Source organism: Homo sapiens, chromosome 22 (assembly GCF_000001405.40).
Source record: "Homo sapiens chromosome 22, GRCh38.p14 Primary Assembly".
NCBI lineage: Eukaryota > Metazoa > Chordata > Mammalia > Primates > Hominidae > Homo > Homo sapiens.
In genome coordinates, this window is record NC_000022.11 from 34,652,413 (window position 1) to 34,666,234 (window position 13,822).

The 13,822-nt window shown below is 39.1% G+C and overlaps 1 long non-coding RNA gene across 1 annotated transcript in view; it reads left to right on the forward strand.

The window, feature by feature from the left end:
• The window catches only part of LOC105373013 (uncharacterized), a 30,333-nt gene extending 16,847 nt beyond the window's left edge, over positions 1 to 13,486 (forward strand). Inside the window, exon 3 of the long non-coding RNA XR_001755610.2 lies at positions 13,277 to 13,486. This is a non-coding gene — a long non-coding RNA (uncharacterized LOC105373013). The remainder of the gene's footprint in view (positions 1 to 13,276) is intronic.
• The last annotated feature ends 336 nt before the right edge of the window (positions 13,487 to 13,822 follow it).

A 13,822-nucleotide genomic window follows, 5' to 3' on the forward strand; every position in this document is an offset into this window, starting at 1 on the left:
GCAGCTTAGAAAAGCAAAGTTCAACCTGAACACAGGAAGACATTATTTAAGCCTGAATAACTCTGCTCTGGGGAGCTGTACTAAGGTTAAAATAATTTTGCATGCAGATATAGTTGTTCATTGACACCAGAGGGTAAAGTCATATCTCTCTGGCTGGGATTGGGTTTCCTTGAAAGTAGGGGACAACCAAACTGCCAATCTGACGAGAAGAGGGAGATCCCGAAGTGGAAAAAGGGGACCCAGAAGGTGGGCCTTCATCTGGGTAGGAAGAGAAATTCTCCCCTCTGAACCACCAGACACGTAGGGTCTCAGGGCTGGGGGTGGCTACATGGCCTGGGTCTGTAGAGTCATATCTCAGAGGTTTAAGGTCCTGCTAATATGATTTATGTAGATGTGAATTTTGAAATATTAATGTAAATGTGATGATAATGTGTCTCCTGAGCTAGGAAATCCAAAAAAGCTACCCCAGAGAGGTTACATTTATTTTATTTTTTTTCCATGGGAATTGAGAACTGCATAACAGACACAATTTCTGTAATCACACTGGCTTCAAGAAACCTCAGAGGAGAATTTGTGATCAACCCAAATATTCATTGAAAAACGTTGACTGAGTGCCTACGCTGGGCCAGACTTTCAATGTCTGTTTCCTGACTTTGCTGATTTTTTTTCCTTTTTTTTTAAAAAAATTGTTTTTAATTTATGCCATCTTGTCTTTTTTATGTTCTCTTATAAAAGCTTGAAATTCTTTCTGAAACAAGGCAGGTTGTAATTAAACTATGTGATACAACTGCTTAAGGAAACTGACCCATCTTAAGATGCATTAATCATCATTTCTCACATTCATATAGTTTTACAATTTACAAGGAATTTTGCTTCCATTATTTCAACTGATTTGCATGTCAATGTTTTGAAGTAAACAGGGATTATTATTCCCATTTTATCAAGAAGAAAGCTGAGTTTCGGTGTGGTTAGAAGATTTGCTTGAAGTAGGTGGATCGTGGACTTGAATCCCTTACAATTACATTTACTCCAGTTTTCTTTGCATTCTACCAAGTTAGATCATATATTATGTAACATAATATTCTCATTGTACCCAGAGGAGGCCAGGCCATGTTTGGAATATGATGTTCAATTGTACAAGCCTTGTCATATTTGCAGAATAGAATGGCCATGATGAAGAGTCCAGATGCCATGACATATGGAGAATTACCAAAGGGCTAGGAATAATAGCCTGATCCATCTCAGATCATCAGCTGTTCTAAAGTATTGTACCATGTGGGCAGACACCTGTCCTTAAAATTTTGTGGGATAGAGATTGAGCCAATGGATGGATGGAAGAAGAATCCTATGAGGTTGTGCTTGCCTCCTGGTTGCTTCTCCAACAACCATTCTGCCTGCAAGGGTAAGGATAATTCAACAAACAGGGTTAGGCAGTATAATATTATTATCTCACATAGCTGGAATTAGTGAGCTCTAGTTGGGAAGGGATCCAAACATGGACCTCTTAGAAGCTCAGTGATACCTTTGTTGACTGAGTCCTTTCCATTTCCATTCTGTGGTCAGTAACAACAGCTTCATTCTAAGGCTGACACCATTATAGTCACAAAAAAACTCTTCTGGTGGCAATCTGGACTACACACTTTCCCATTTATCTCTATGAAGGAGAGAGGAAAACCTCTTCCCCGGACACAGAATATAATCTTTCCCCTTTGTTTTATTGGTTCAACTTCAGCTGCTGCCTAACCCCAGACCAATCACGGTCACCAGAGGAGTTCCATGCACTGATTACATGAGGCTAATCAGGAATTAAGCATGGAATCTACCCAGTGATAAAGTAGCTGCCTCTGAGTCACATGGACTGCATGGCAGGAGTGTAGACACATGAATACAGTTTTATTGCTGTTGGAAGGCCAGAATTCAGAAGGATTACAGGGTAGCCAAGAACAGTGGTCCCCAACCTTTTTGGCACCAGGGACCAGTTTTGTGGAAGACAGTATTTCCATGGATAGGGTGGGGGTTGGGAGCAGGGATGATTTCGGGATGAAACTGTTCTACCTCAGATCATCAGCATTAGTTAGATTCTCATAAGTAATGTGCAGCCTCTCTTGTGCAGTTCACAATAGAGTTTGCACTCCTATGAGAATCTAGTGGCACTGCTGATCAGACAGAGGCAGAGCTCAGGCAGTAATGCCCACCCACCCGCCGCTCACCTCCTGCTGTGCAGTCTGGTTCCTAACAGGGCATAGATCCATACCAGTCTGTGGCCTAGGGGTTGGAGACCCTTGGCCAAGAGTGTTTGTTACACCCCCTTCCACTCAAACACTTCCACATCACTATACTCCCCTTCTGCATCATAACATAATGGCCTTGGAATCCTTGACTTAGGCTAAATCAGTAGCTGTGTTTTATCATTCTGGCCCCATGAATTATGAGGTCTTAATCCTGTCTAATTAGAGTAAGCCTCACCACTTATTCCAGTTTGATTATCTGGAATAAAAGCTCTTAATCTCTTACTCAAGATAATGGTGGTGTGTGGCTAGAAGACCCTAGAACTGCTTTTGACACGTTTTCCTATTATAAAAAAGTAGTCAAATGAGAGTGCTGACACATGGAAGATGTCAGGGCATAAAGGATTGCCAAGAAATGGAATCAGAGCCTTGAGGACACTATGAACCTCTGGCTCAAATTGTACCTGAAATTCACCTTAACATTGAACCACTCAAGTACTGATTTGAGCAATTCTCACTGTGTCTAAAGCCATCTTCAGATGTGCTTTCTGTTTCTTGCAACATGAAGAATACTGATATGGAAGAATCCAGTTCAATCAGATGAATGTGTTTCTAATCATCAGAACTTCCCCCAAAATAAAACAGGCTCTTGTTCCCCTTTGTCTTCCGTGACTGGAGGTGTTTAGGTAGAGGCTGGCTGGCCATCTGTCCAGGATGCCATAGAAAGGATTTCTGCATTGGTGGGAAGCTGAATAAACTACCTTCTAAGAAACCCTACAATTCTGATACACTAATACCTCTGTAAGGCCAAGATGAAAGTGGAAATTGAGCCAAAACATGTATAGGAGAATCTAAATAAAAGTTACTTGGATGAAAAATGAGAATTTTCCCTCTGAAGCAGAACTAGAGAGAAGACGTGTTTCATTCATTTGTTCTTTGATTCATTCATTTATTCAACAGCTGTGCATTAATCTCCAAATACATGCTAGGCACTAAAGATACAGGGAAAAACAAAATCAATATCCTGCTTTTGTGGAGCTTTCATTCTAGTGGCATGCTATAGTGGCATGCTAAAAGATATGGGCTTTGGATTCAGAAATGTCTGAATGGCAGTCATGACCTCTGTAAGCCATGTAGCTTTGGGTTGGCCTCTCTGATCTTCAATTTCTTCATTGTTTAAATGGGAGCTACTAAACCTACCTCATATGGTAGTGTAAAGGTTAAATGAGAAAATGTATATATGTAAAGTACTTCAAAAAGACCAAGAACAAAGCAGTTAAGGAATAAATAGTATTTTTCATCCATGGCTATGGCACTAACAGATATGGATTAAAGGAAAAGTTCCCACATTTCATCTTCTGCATGGTCCCCACCAAGTGTAGATATAGTAAAAATCAGATGATCATGCAGAAGCCTAGAAGAACTTGATTTGAAATGAATCAGATAAATATAATTTGAATGAGAGCGGTGAAAAATGTCTAAGTTCATGTGTTCGTTCATTCAACAAGAGTATTTCATCTCCAATGAGTTAGAAACTATTTTAGGTGCTTGGAACCCAACAGTGACCAAAACAGAAAGCATTTATATTCTACTAAGAACAGAAATACACTAAATACAATATAGAGGGATTGTTATAATGTTACATGGCATTAAATGCCAAATCAATGATACTAATAACTGGCGCTAAGGAAATGGAGAGGAGATAGATGGACCCAAGGGTTTGGGTAGCTAGAGAAGTTTTGAGTGGGAACATCAGGATGTTGGAAGTACCAGAGCACAGTCCTCAAGACTTGCAGTGCTGCTAAGTAAAGGGGAGACCGTGATGATGTGTGTAGTGTGGCATCTGTATTTGGAAAATCTGCAAAGGAATTGCATGCCAGGACAGTGTTGATGAACCAATGCATAAACATATGGGGAATGGGATCATTTTTTATTTTAATAGAAGATTTCAGCAAATTCAAATCCTGGTTTCATTACTTAATAGGTTACTTTGAGGAATTTGTAACCTAGGTCGTACAGGTGAAATGAGGATTCATTGACAGAATGCCTATAATGGACTCGGTATATAGTAAGCTTGCAATAAATGCTTCATTATTATTACATTATTATTAATACTGTGATATTAAGGCACACTACCAAGTGTATTCATCTTCTATTGCTTCTATAACAAATTATGAAAAATTTAGCAGCTTAAAGCAACACGTATTTATTAACTCATAGTTCTTTAGGTCAAAAATTGGATTCTTTACTAAGGATATCACAAGGCTAAAATCACAGTATCAGCTGGGCTGAGCTTTTTGTTGTTGTTGTTGCTTTTTTTTTTTTTTTTCCAGAAGGAGTCTCACTCTGTTGCCCAAGCTGGAGTGCAGTGGTGCAGTGGCACGATCTCGGTTTACTGCAACCTCCACCTCCTGGGTTCAGGCAATTCTCTGACTCAGCCTCCCAAGTAGCTGGGATTACAGGCGCCTGCCACCATGCCCAGCTAATTTTTGTATTTTAAGTAGAGACAGGGTTGCACCATCTTGGCCAGCTGGTCTTGAACTCCTGACCTCATGATCCACCTGCCTCGGCCTCCCAAAGTACTGGGATTACAGGTGTGAGCCACCACCCCCAGCCTGGGCTGAGCTTTTATCTGGAGGCTTTGGAGAAAAATCCTCTCCGGAGCTCATTCAAGTTGTTGAAAGAATTCACTTCCTTATGACTGTGGAAATGAGTCCCCATTTCTTTGCTGCCAGGGACCACTCTGTTCCTAGAGGCTGCTCACATTCCTTCTCACATAGCCCCTTCTTCAAACCAGCAACATTACGTCAAGTCCTTTGAGATGGTTTGGCTGTGTCCCCACCTAAATCTCATCTCAAATTGTAATCCAAATTATAATCTCCACCTGTCAGGAAAGGACCTGCTGGGAGGTGATTGGATCATGGGGGTGGTTTCCCCCATGCTGTGCTCCTGATAGTCAAAGAGTTCTCACAAGATTTGATGGTTTTATAGGTGGAGGTTTCCCCTCTCTATCCCTCTCTTACCTGCGGCCATGTAAGACTGCCTGCTTCCCTTTCCATTTCCTTTAGTTGGGCATCAGCAGCCTTGGGCTGAATGTTGGTAACTTTCCCCAGTATTAATGGCATTTTGCTAGAGTATGTCACAGATTTCTGGAGCAGGAGAGAAGGTCAACAGTAAGATGCCACATGGTGATGCAAGAGCTAATTATGGGGACATTTTACTCATGTAGATTCCACTGGCTTACTTGTGAAGAATGGAAGGGTAATTCCTACATTGCAATAGGGGATGAAGCCAGATAAATACAGTCTGCATTGCTTAAAGACAGGGATACCTTCTGAAAAATGCATCCTTGGGTGATTTTGTCATTGTGTGAACACGTTAGAGTGCACTTACACAAACCTAGGTAGTATAGCCTACTACATACCTAGGCATGCGGTATAGCCTATTGCTTCTAGGCTCCAAACCTGTACAGCACGTTACTGCACTGAATGTTGTAGGCAACTGTAACACAGTGGTAAGTCTTTGTGTATGTAAACGTATCTCTACATGGAAAAGGTACAGTAAAAATAAGGTATAAAAGATAAAAAATGGTACACCTCTACAGAGCACTTACCGTGAATGAAGTTTACAGGACTGGAAGTTGCTTTGGGTGAGTTAGTGAGTGAATGGTGAGTGGATGTGAAGGCCCAGGACATTGTTGTATACTACTGTAGACCTTATAAATACTGTACATTTAGTTTACACTGTTTATTTTTAAAGTATTTTTCTTTTATTAATTTTTTTTTTGAGTCAGAGTTTTGCTCTTGTTGCCCAAGCTGGAGTGCAATGGCGCAATCTCGGCTCACCACAACCTCCACCTCCCGGGTTCAAGCGATTCTCCTGCCTCACCCTCGTGAGTACCTGGGATTACAGGCATGTGCCACCATGCCTGTCTAATTTTGTGTTTTTGGTAGGGACGGGGTTTCTCCATGTTGGTCAGGCTGGTCTCAAACTCCCGACCTCAGGTGATCTGCCCACCTTGGCCTCCCAAAGTGCTGGGATTACAGGCGTGAGCCACTGCGCCTGGTCTGCGTTTTTCTTTTTCCAATAATAAATTAATCTTAGCTTACTGTATCTTTCTTACCTTATAAACTTTTTAATTTTTTCAACTTTTTGACTTTTTATGATAGCACAACTTAAAACACAAACTCACTGTACAGCTCTACAAAAATATTTCTTTGTATCCTTATTCCATAAGGTTTTCTCTACTTAGAAAATTTTTATTTTAGGCAGGCGCAGTGGCTCACACCTGTAATCTTAGCACTTTGGGAGGCTAAGGCAGGCAGATCAAGTGAGGTCAGGAGTTCAAGACCAGCCTGGCCAACGTGGTGAAACCCAGTCTACTAAAAATACAAAAATTAGCCAAGTGTGGTGGCACATGCCTGTAATCCCACCTACTTGGGAGGCTGAGGTAGGATAATCACTTGAATCCAGAAGGTAGAGGTTACAGTGAGCCGAGATTGCAGCATTGCACTCTAGCCTGGGCAACAGAGTGAAATACCGTCTCAAAAAATATATATATATTACTTTACTTTCTAAACTTTTTTGCTAAAAACTAAGACACAAAAACACACATTAGCCTAGGCCTCCACAAGGTCAGGATCATCCATATCACTATCTTCTACCTCCACAACTTGTCCCACTGGGCGGTCTTCAGCAGCAATAACACATATTGAGCTGCCATCTCCTAAAATAACAATGCCTTCTTCCAGAATACCTTCCGAAGGGGAAGCTGATCATAATCTCAAAAGACATAATCCTGAACGCCGTAATCCCAAATATGGAAATCCTGAAAGATCAAAGTCTCAAAACTATAATTCTGGAAAATATAATTTAAAATTATATTTCAATATATTTATTTACATTTTTTAAAAAATGATTTATTTGAAAACATGACAGATCATGGGCCACTTTACACAATACAATAGGCAATAATAGTCTACATATTTTGGCAAGCATGAAGTATACTCAGGTATACTAACAACAGTCACACGAGTGTAAGAGCTATGAGCAAAGGAACCATATGCATGAAGAAATAGGTCAAGAAGCAAAATTTTAAATGTGTATTACTGTAGTTGGTAATTGTGTGCACTCAGCTTTATAACTGCAGTCATCTGAAATACCATGATGGACAAACTAAGTCTTTTGAGATCAGTCAAAAACTTGATGGGTCACCACTGCATCACCACCGCACCAGTGGCCCAAAGACTCACGATCTTGAGAAATTTTATCTTTCACGAATGCAGACATATGAAAAGGATACCTCTTCATACAGTGAAGAAGTTTTAACATTTTTATGCACCGTCGCAATGCTTACACACAAAGTCAATGTTGTGGTAATGCACTTTCGTGGAACAATATTTGCAAAAGATGTGTAAAACAATTAGAACTCTCCAAAAATCTTTATACAGTTTATACCTCCGGTATTGGAAATGATGTGAAGATGAAATACATAGCACAGTGAATTGTAAAAAATAATGCTGATAATTTAAAATAGTAAAAAATAACGGAAAAGAAAATTTGACATATGAAAAAGTGTATGAAAATATAGATTATGGGCAATTCCGTGGAGATATTTCATAAGAGCTAGCTGACTTTCATGATAATTAACTTTATTTTGATGCCTTACATCACAATGAAGAGGTTTTGTTTTTTTTTCTTTTACGGCATGACTCTCCTCAGATAGTATGTTCACATTCATTTTCTATGTGGTGCTTCTCTTTTTGAGTCTTCTGATTCAATATACACTAACGTGAGCATTCTCTATTGAATTTTCTCATCTTCTGTGTCATGCTTCTAAATTGTTTTGGGAAAGTGGAAATCCGTTCCATACACAGACCACAAATTTGGTGGAAACAATATTGGAAAGTGAATGGAATCACTGTTGCTTAAGTGTCTTCTTATGCTAAGATAGACATCATTATTTTGAACCAATCAGTAACTTCATTGACTTCTTCAAGTAAATGTGGCTTTAATTCGTTAAAACCTCCTGGAATGTCATCAGATGGAGGGGATATCAATGCAGGCAAATGATGTGTTTTTAAGATGAAGTTTTCATTATTGCTGTGTTGCACGTCCAATCCACTCATCTGCATTTTCTGCCAAATGTATTGGGCTAAACGGAAAACACAAACTTTATTGGTAACACTTTGAACTTTTAGAAGCCTTGATCTCACCCAATTACAAATCTGTGATTATGTTTGGGGATTCAATTAAAATCAATTTTTTCTGCATAAAGCCAATAACATGGTAGCATTCCTACCTAACATGATGCAACTATCCTGTGTGAATTTTTGAGATTTTAGACACTAGGGGTTTTAGACTTTAGGGATGTTAATCTTTTGGGATTTCAATATTTGGGATTACAGCATTTGAGATTGTGTCTTTCAGGGTACAAACCCCTTTGGAAGAAACTGCCTGAGGCTTTTCTTGCAGAGGTGTCACTCTTTTTAGAAATATATCTATGGTGGTTTGCTTGGCTTGTTTTTCTTTCCCATTATAAATTTGCGTTCCGCAGGTAATGCACCATAAACATTCCTCTGTATTAGTGTAAACCTTTCGTTGTTGGGATCTTTTAAAGCACTTGTTAGGGTCTGCAAAAGCTTCTGCTAACTCCTTCACTGTAAATTTTCTTGGGGGTTCTTTTTTTTTTCTCTCTCACTTGCAGTTTCCTTTTCTCTTGCCTCTTCTCCAACTATGTTCTTGTTACACTTCCAATAGCTCCTCATTATTCAGTTCCTCAGGACCTTTAGGACCTCCTCAATATCATCTTCCTCCACATCCAGGTTAAACTTGTTTTCCATCTCAACCACAGCCTTGTTGGTTTTTGCAACCTCCTCGTCCTTGACAAATCCTTTGAAGCCAGGGACAAACTTCTTGAGTGTTATCTTTCAGATGCCATTCGTACGCTCCTTGACAGCATCATCCCAAGCCCAACAAAAAATCTTTTTTTCTTTGCTCTAGACTTTATTATTTATTTGCTTTCCTTTCTTTAATTTTTATTTTAAGTTCTGGGGTACATGTGCAGGATGTGCAGGTTTGGTTATATAGCTAAACATGCGCCATGGTGGTTTCTTGCACCTATCAACCCACCCCCTAGGTATTAAGCAAACATGCATCAGCCATTTTTTCTAATGCTCTCCTTCCCCACACCATACCCACTGACAGGCCCCAGTGTGTGTTTTCCCCTGCCTGTGTCCATGCGATCTCATTGTTCATCTCCCACTTATAAGTGAGAACAAATGTGCCAAACAAAATTTTTGATGCAGTCATAGATGTTGTAATCCTTCCAGAATTGCATCAGTGTCTTCCTTAGTTGCAGCAATAGCCTGGGCAAAGGTCCTCTCCACGTAGTAGACCTTAAAAGCTGCTACTCCTTGATCCATTGGTTGGATCAAAGGGGTGGTGTTTGGAAGGACAAATGACACCTCGATATTGGAAAGAAAGAGGATGTGTAAGAGCATTATCAACAATAAGCAAAATCTTGAAGACTATGTTATTCTCCAAACAGTAATTCTCCAATTCACTGATACAGCAATTTGGAAGTGTATCTTGGAAAAGGCGCTTGGAAAAGGACTTCTTAGTGCTCCTGTAGTACACTGGCCATGTGTGCTTATTGATACGCCTGAAGGCCCTTGGGTTCTCACAGTGCCAGATCACAAAGGGTTACAATTTGTAGCCTGTACCATTCTTCCCAAGTAAGACTATTATCCTGTCCTTACAAGCCTTGAAACCAAATATTGACTTGGCCTCCTTATGTATAAAAGTCATTTTCAGGCATCCCTCTCCAGAATAGGGAGGATTCATTCATATTGAAGATTTGCTCTGGCAAGTAATTTTCTTCCACAATCAGCTTGCTAGAATTTTCAAAATTTCATCTGCCTTCACATCAGCATGCACAGACTCACCACTTACTTTCACATATGTCATGAATAGTGATTCTTTAAACCACCCAGGGCTGGCAGTAAATGCAGCATGGTAGTTGGGTTCAGCCTTTTCCTTCAACATCTCAAACAAACTTTTTGCTTTGCCCATGATCATCATCATGCTAAGAGGGATAGACTTCTGAGTCTGGTCCTCAATCCAGGTCATTAGAAGTGTCTCCCTATCTGATATGGGCCCCTCCTGAATTTTTCTCAGCCTTGTTGTCTTCAGTGAAGCAGATCTTTTAACAGTTTCTGTCCCTCTGTTCTTGTTCTTCAAGATAGTAGCTATGGTGGAATGGGACTTGCCTTCCTGGCAAACAGTAACCACCACTGATTTTCCACCTTCGTTGTCTGTCATCACTTTTAATTTTGTTTCCAGGTCAGTCACTTGATAAGTCCTCTTACTGACAGCATTAGCCATAAATTTTGCATGCCTAGGGTCCCACAATGAACAAAACACCACCAGATTAAATCAAGCACAACAGGAAGTGATGAAATAAAGAGATTGTAAAGAGATGTGTAAGGTTGCCGCCCGTGTAACATGGCATACTGTTTTACAGTTAAAAAAGCAAACATGTTTTTAGAAATAGAAGGAGTACACTCTAAAATCACAATAAAATGTATAGGATAGTAAAGACATAAACCAGTAATATAGTCATTTATTATCATGATCAACTATTATGTACTGTACTTAATGGAATGCGTGATACTTTTATATGACTGGTGATACAATGTAGGTTTGTTCACACCAGCATCACCAAAAACATGAGTAGTGCATTGTACTGTGACATCATGATGGCTATAGTGAGCAATAGGAATTTTTCAGCTCCATTATAATCTTATGGGACCACCGTCCTATATGTGGTCCATCATTGACCAAAGTGTCATTATGCAGCACGAGAAGGTGTTGTTGTTGTTGTTGTTATTGTTGTTTGTCTTTGTTACTGGAGGTCTATTTTGAATCCTAGTTGAGCTGTAAAGCCCTGAGAAATTCTGAGGACTTGACAAATAGGAATAATAACATGTGTCCCACAAAATAATTATCTGAGGGTTAAATAAAACTATTTATTTAAGGTTCAGACACAATTCCTGGACTACAGAAGATGTCAGTAACTTATATAGGGCAGAAGAATTATGCTGCTTTTAAACAGGTAATTTTTTTTATTTTTACAACTTTTCACATACTTTTAGCTTCTAATATTATGTTGATAAATAATTGCTTTCTTTTAAAAAATGAGATATTTTCTTGAAAGAAGAGGAAAAATTTTAAAAACCAAAGAATATGGTTTTCTCTCTGTTAAACCAAAATTTTACAATTGGCCTCAAATGGTCAGTCTATTTCTTTCCTGTGTGTCTTCTTGCAAACATATCTGATGAAGTCCTTTTTGAAAGTATGATACTGGCACAAGAATAGACAGGCAGATCAATGAAATAAAACAGCCCAGAAATAGATTCCAGTATGTATAAGAATTTAATGCATGATAAAGGAGACATTACATACCAATGTGAAAAGGAAGTATCATTTAACAAATGGTGCTGGGACCTCCTGATAACAATTTAGAGGGGAAAATCTATTTTAAACACTTATTTCATATAATGCAGAGAAATCAATTTTAGATGAGTTAAAGAATTAAATATAAAAATATCAAATCTTAGAAAAACTAGAGGGAAAAAGGTGAATAAGAACTTAATCTCCATAGGAGTAAGAACTTTCCAAGCTTAGAGCCATAGAATAAAACACAAAGGAGATCAACAGGTTCAAGTGCCTAGAATTTAATTTTTTAAATCCTAACACAGAGACATAGAAAAGCTGAAGTCAGACTTGAAATAATAGTTCCAGCAAATCTAAACAATGTGATAACTCTTTCTTATAAATGGCTTATATCAGTCAGGATAAAAGAACACTAAGTTCTAGATCAATAAATGGGCAAAAACATTCACAGAAATTCACATATAAGGAAAAGATACCTGATAAGCATGTGGTAGAAGATCTAAGCTCATCAGTAATTAAGAGAGTAATACATTTTAAGAATAAAGAATTAATTTTTTAAAACCATAGATTTGGCAAAATTATTTTTAAGAACATTTAACATTAGAAAGGATGTAGAGAAAATATCACACATATCTATTGTATGCAGTAGTATGAATTTGTTTAATACTTTACAAAACATTTTAATAATTTGTACTAAGAGACTTGGAAATATTTCAGCTAGTTTGGGGCTATATTTCTAATTTTCAGAATATAAGCAATTTTTTTTTTTTTTTTTTTTGGAGATGGAATCTCGCTCTAGTTGCCCAGACTGGAGTGCAATGACATGATCTCGGATCACTGCAACCTCCACCTCCCGGGTTCAAGTGATTCTCCTGCCTCAGCCTCCCCCAAGTAGCTGGGATTACAGGCACCCACCACCACACCCAGCTAATTTTTTTTATATTTTTAGTAGAGACAAAGTTTCACCATGTTGGCCAGACTGGTCTCGAACTCCTGACCTCACGTGATCCGTCTTGGTGTCCCACAGTGCTGGGGTTACAGGTGTGAGCCACCGTACCCAGCCGCAAAAATTTTTTTAAATGTTAGGAAAAGGAAGAAACAGAAGAGGAGAGAATGAGCCATTGGCAAAAGGTTTGCTATAGCATTAAACTAATAAATAATTATAAATAACACTAATAGGAAAAAAATTGAGTCAATTATGATGCATTCATCCAGGCTTTATATTGTATTATTACAAATATCATTCAGGGTTCTAAAAGGAAACAGATGATAAAGTCAACCTGGAATAATTTGATACAGGTTCAGGAAATAATCAATTTACAAAGAGTGTACAGAGAATAGGAAACCATCTGAGATAGTGCTGTACCCCAGAGCTAGTAACAGGAGAGCTGTCACTAGCTCTAAGCCTAATGAGGTGAGGGAAAAAAGCAATTGCCAGAACTTGGAAAAAGAGTGTCTTGGAGACACCTAGTCGGCGATGACAGCGGTTGTGACTTCTTTAAACCAAGGGACACACCATCTCAAAGCCACCCCATATGGAGGGATCCAGCAGAATAAATATTCTAATACCATTTCTCCTCTCCAATAACCAGCTCAGGTCCCCCGCATGGCAAAGCTGGAGGGCAAGCACACATTTGAGGTCATCTGTACCCATCAGCCTCCCAAGGCACAGGACAGGAAAAAAAGCACACATAGATCAGGAGGGAGAGAAGGAAGACATCCATTACACTGGAGAAAAACTGTATGAATTTGCTCTTATGGTATGATCTAAAATATTAAATTTGAGAAAAAGTAGAAATCAAAAAAATACAATAAAATGCTAAGTTTTGGATTAAGGTCATAGAATTGTTAGTAAATTTTTCCTTTTCTTCTTCTTTTCCAAATTTTGGGTTTATTAAAAAGGCAAGAGCAGCCGGGCACTGTGGCTCACGCCTGTAATCCCAGCACTTTGGGAGGCCAAGGCGGACGGATCACCTGACGTCAGGAGATTGTGACCAGCCTGACCAACATGGGGAAACCCCGTCTCTAATAAAAATACAAAAATTAGCTGGGTGTGGGGGCGCGTGCCTGTAATCCCAGCTACTCTGGAGGCTGAGGCAGTAGAATTGCTTGAACCCGGGAGGCGGAGGTTGAGGTGA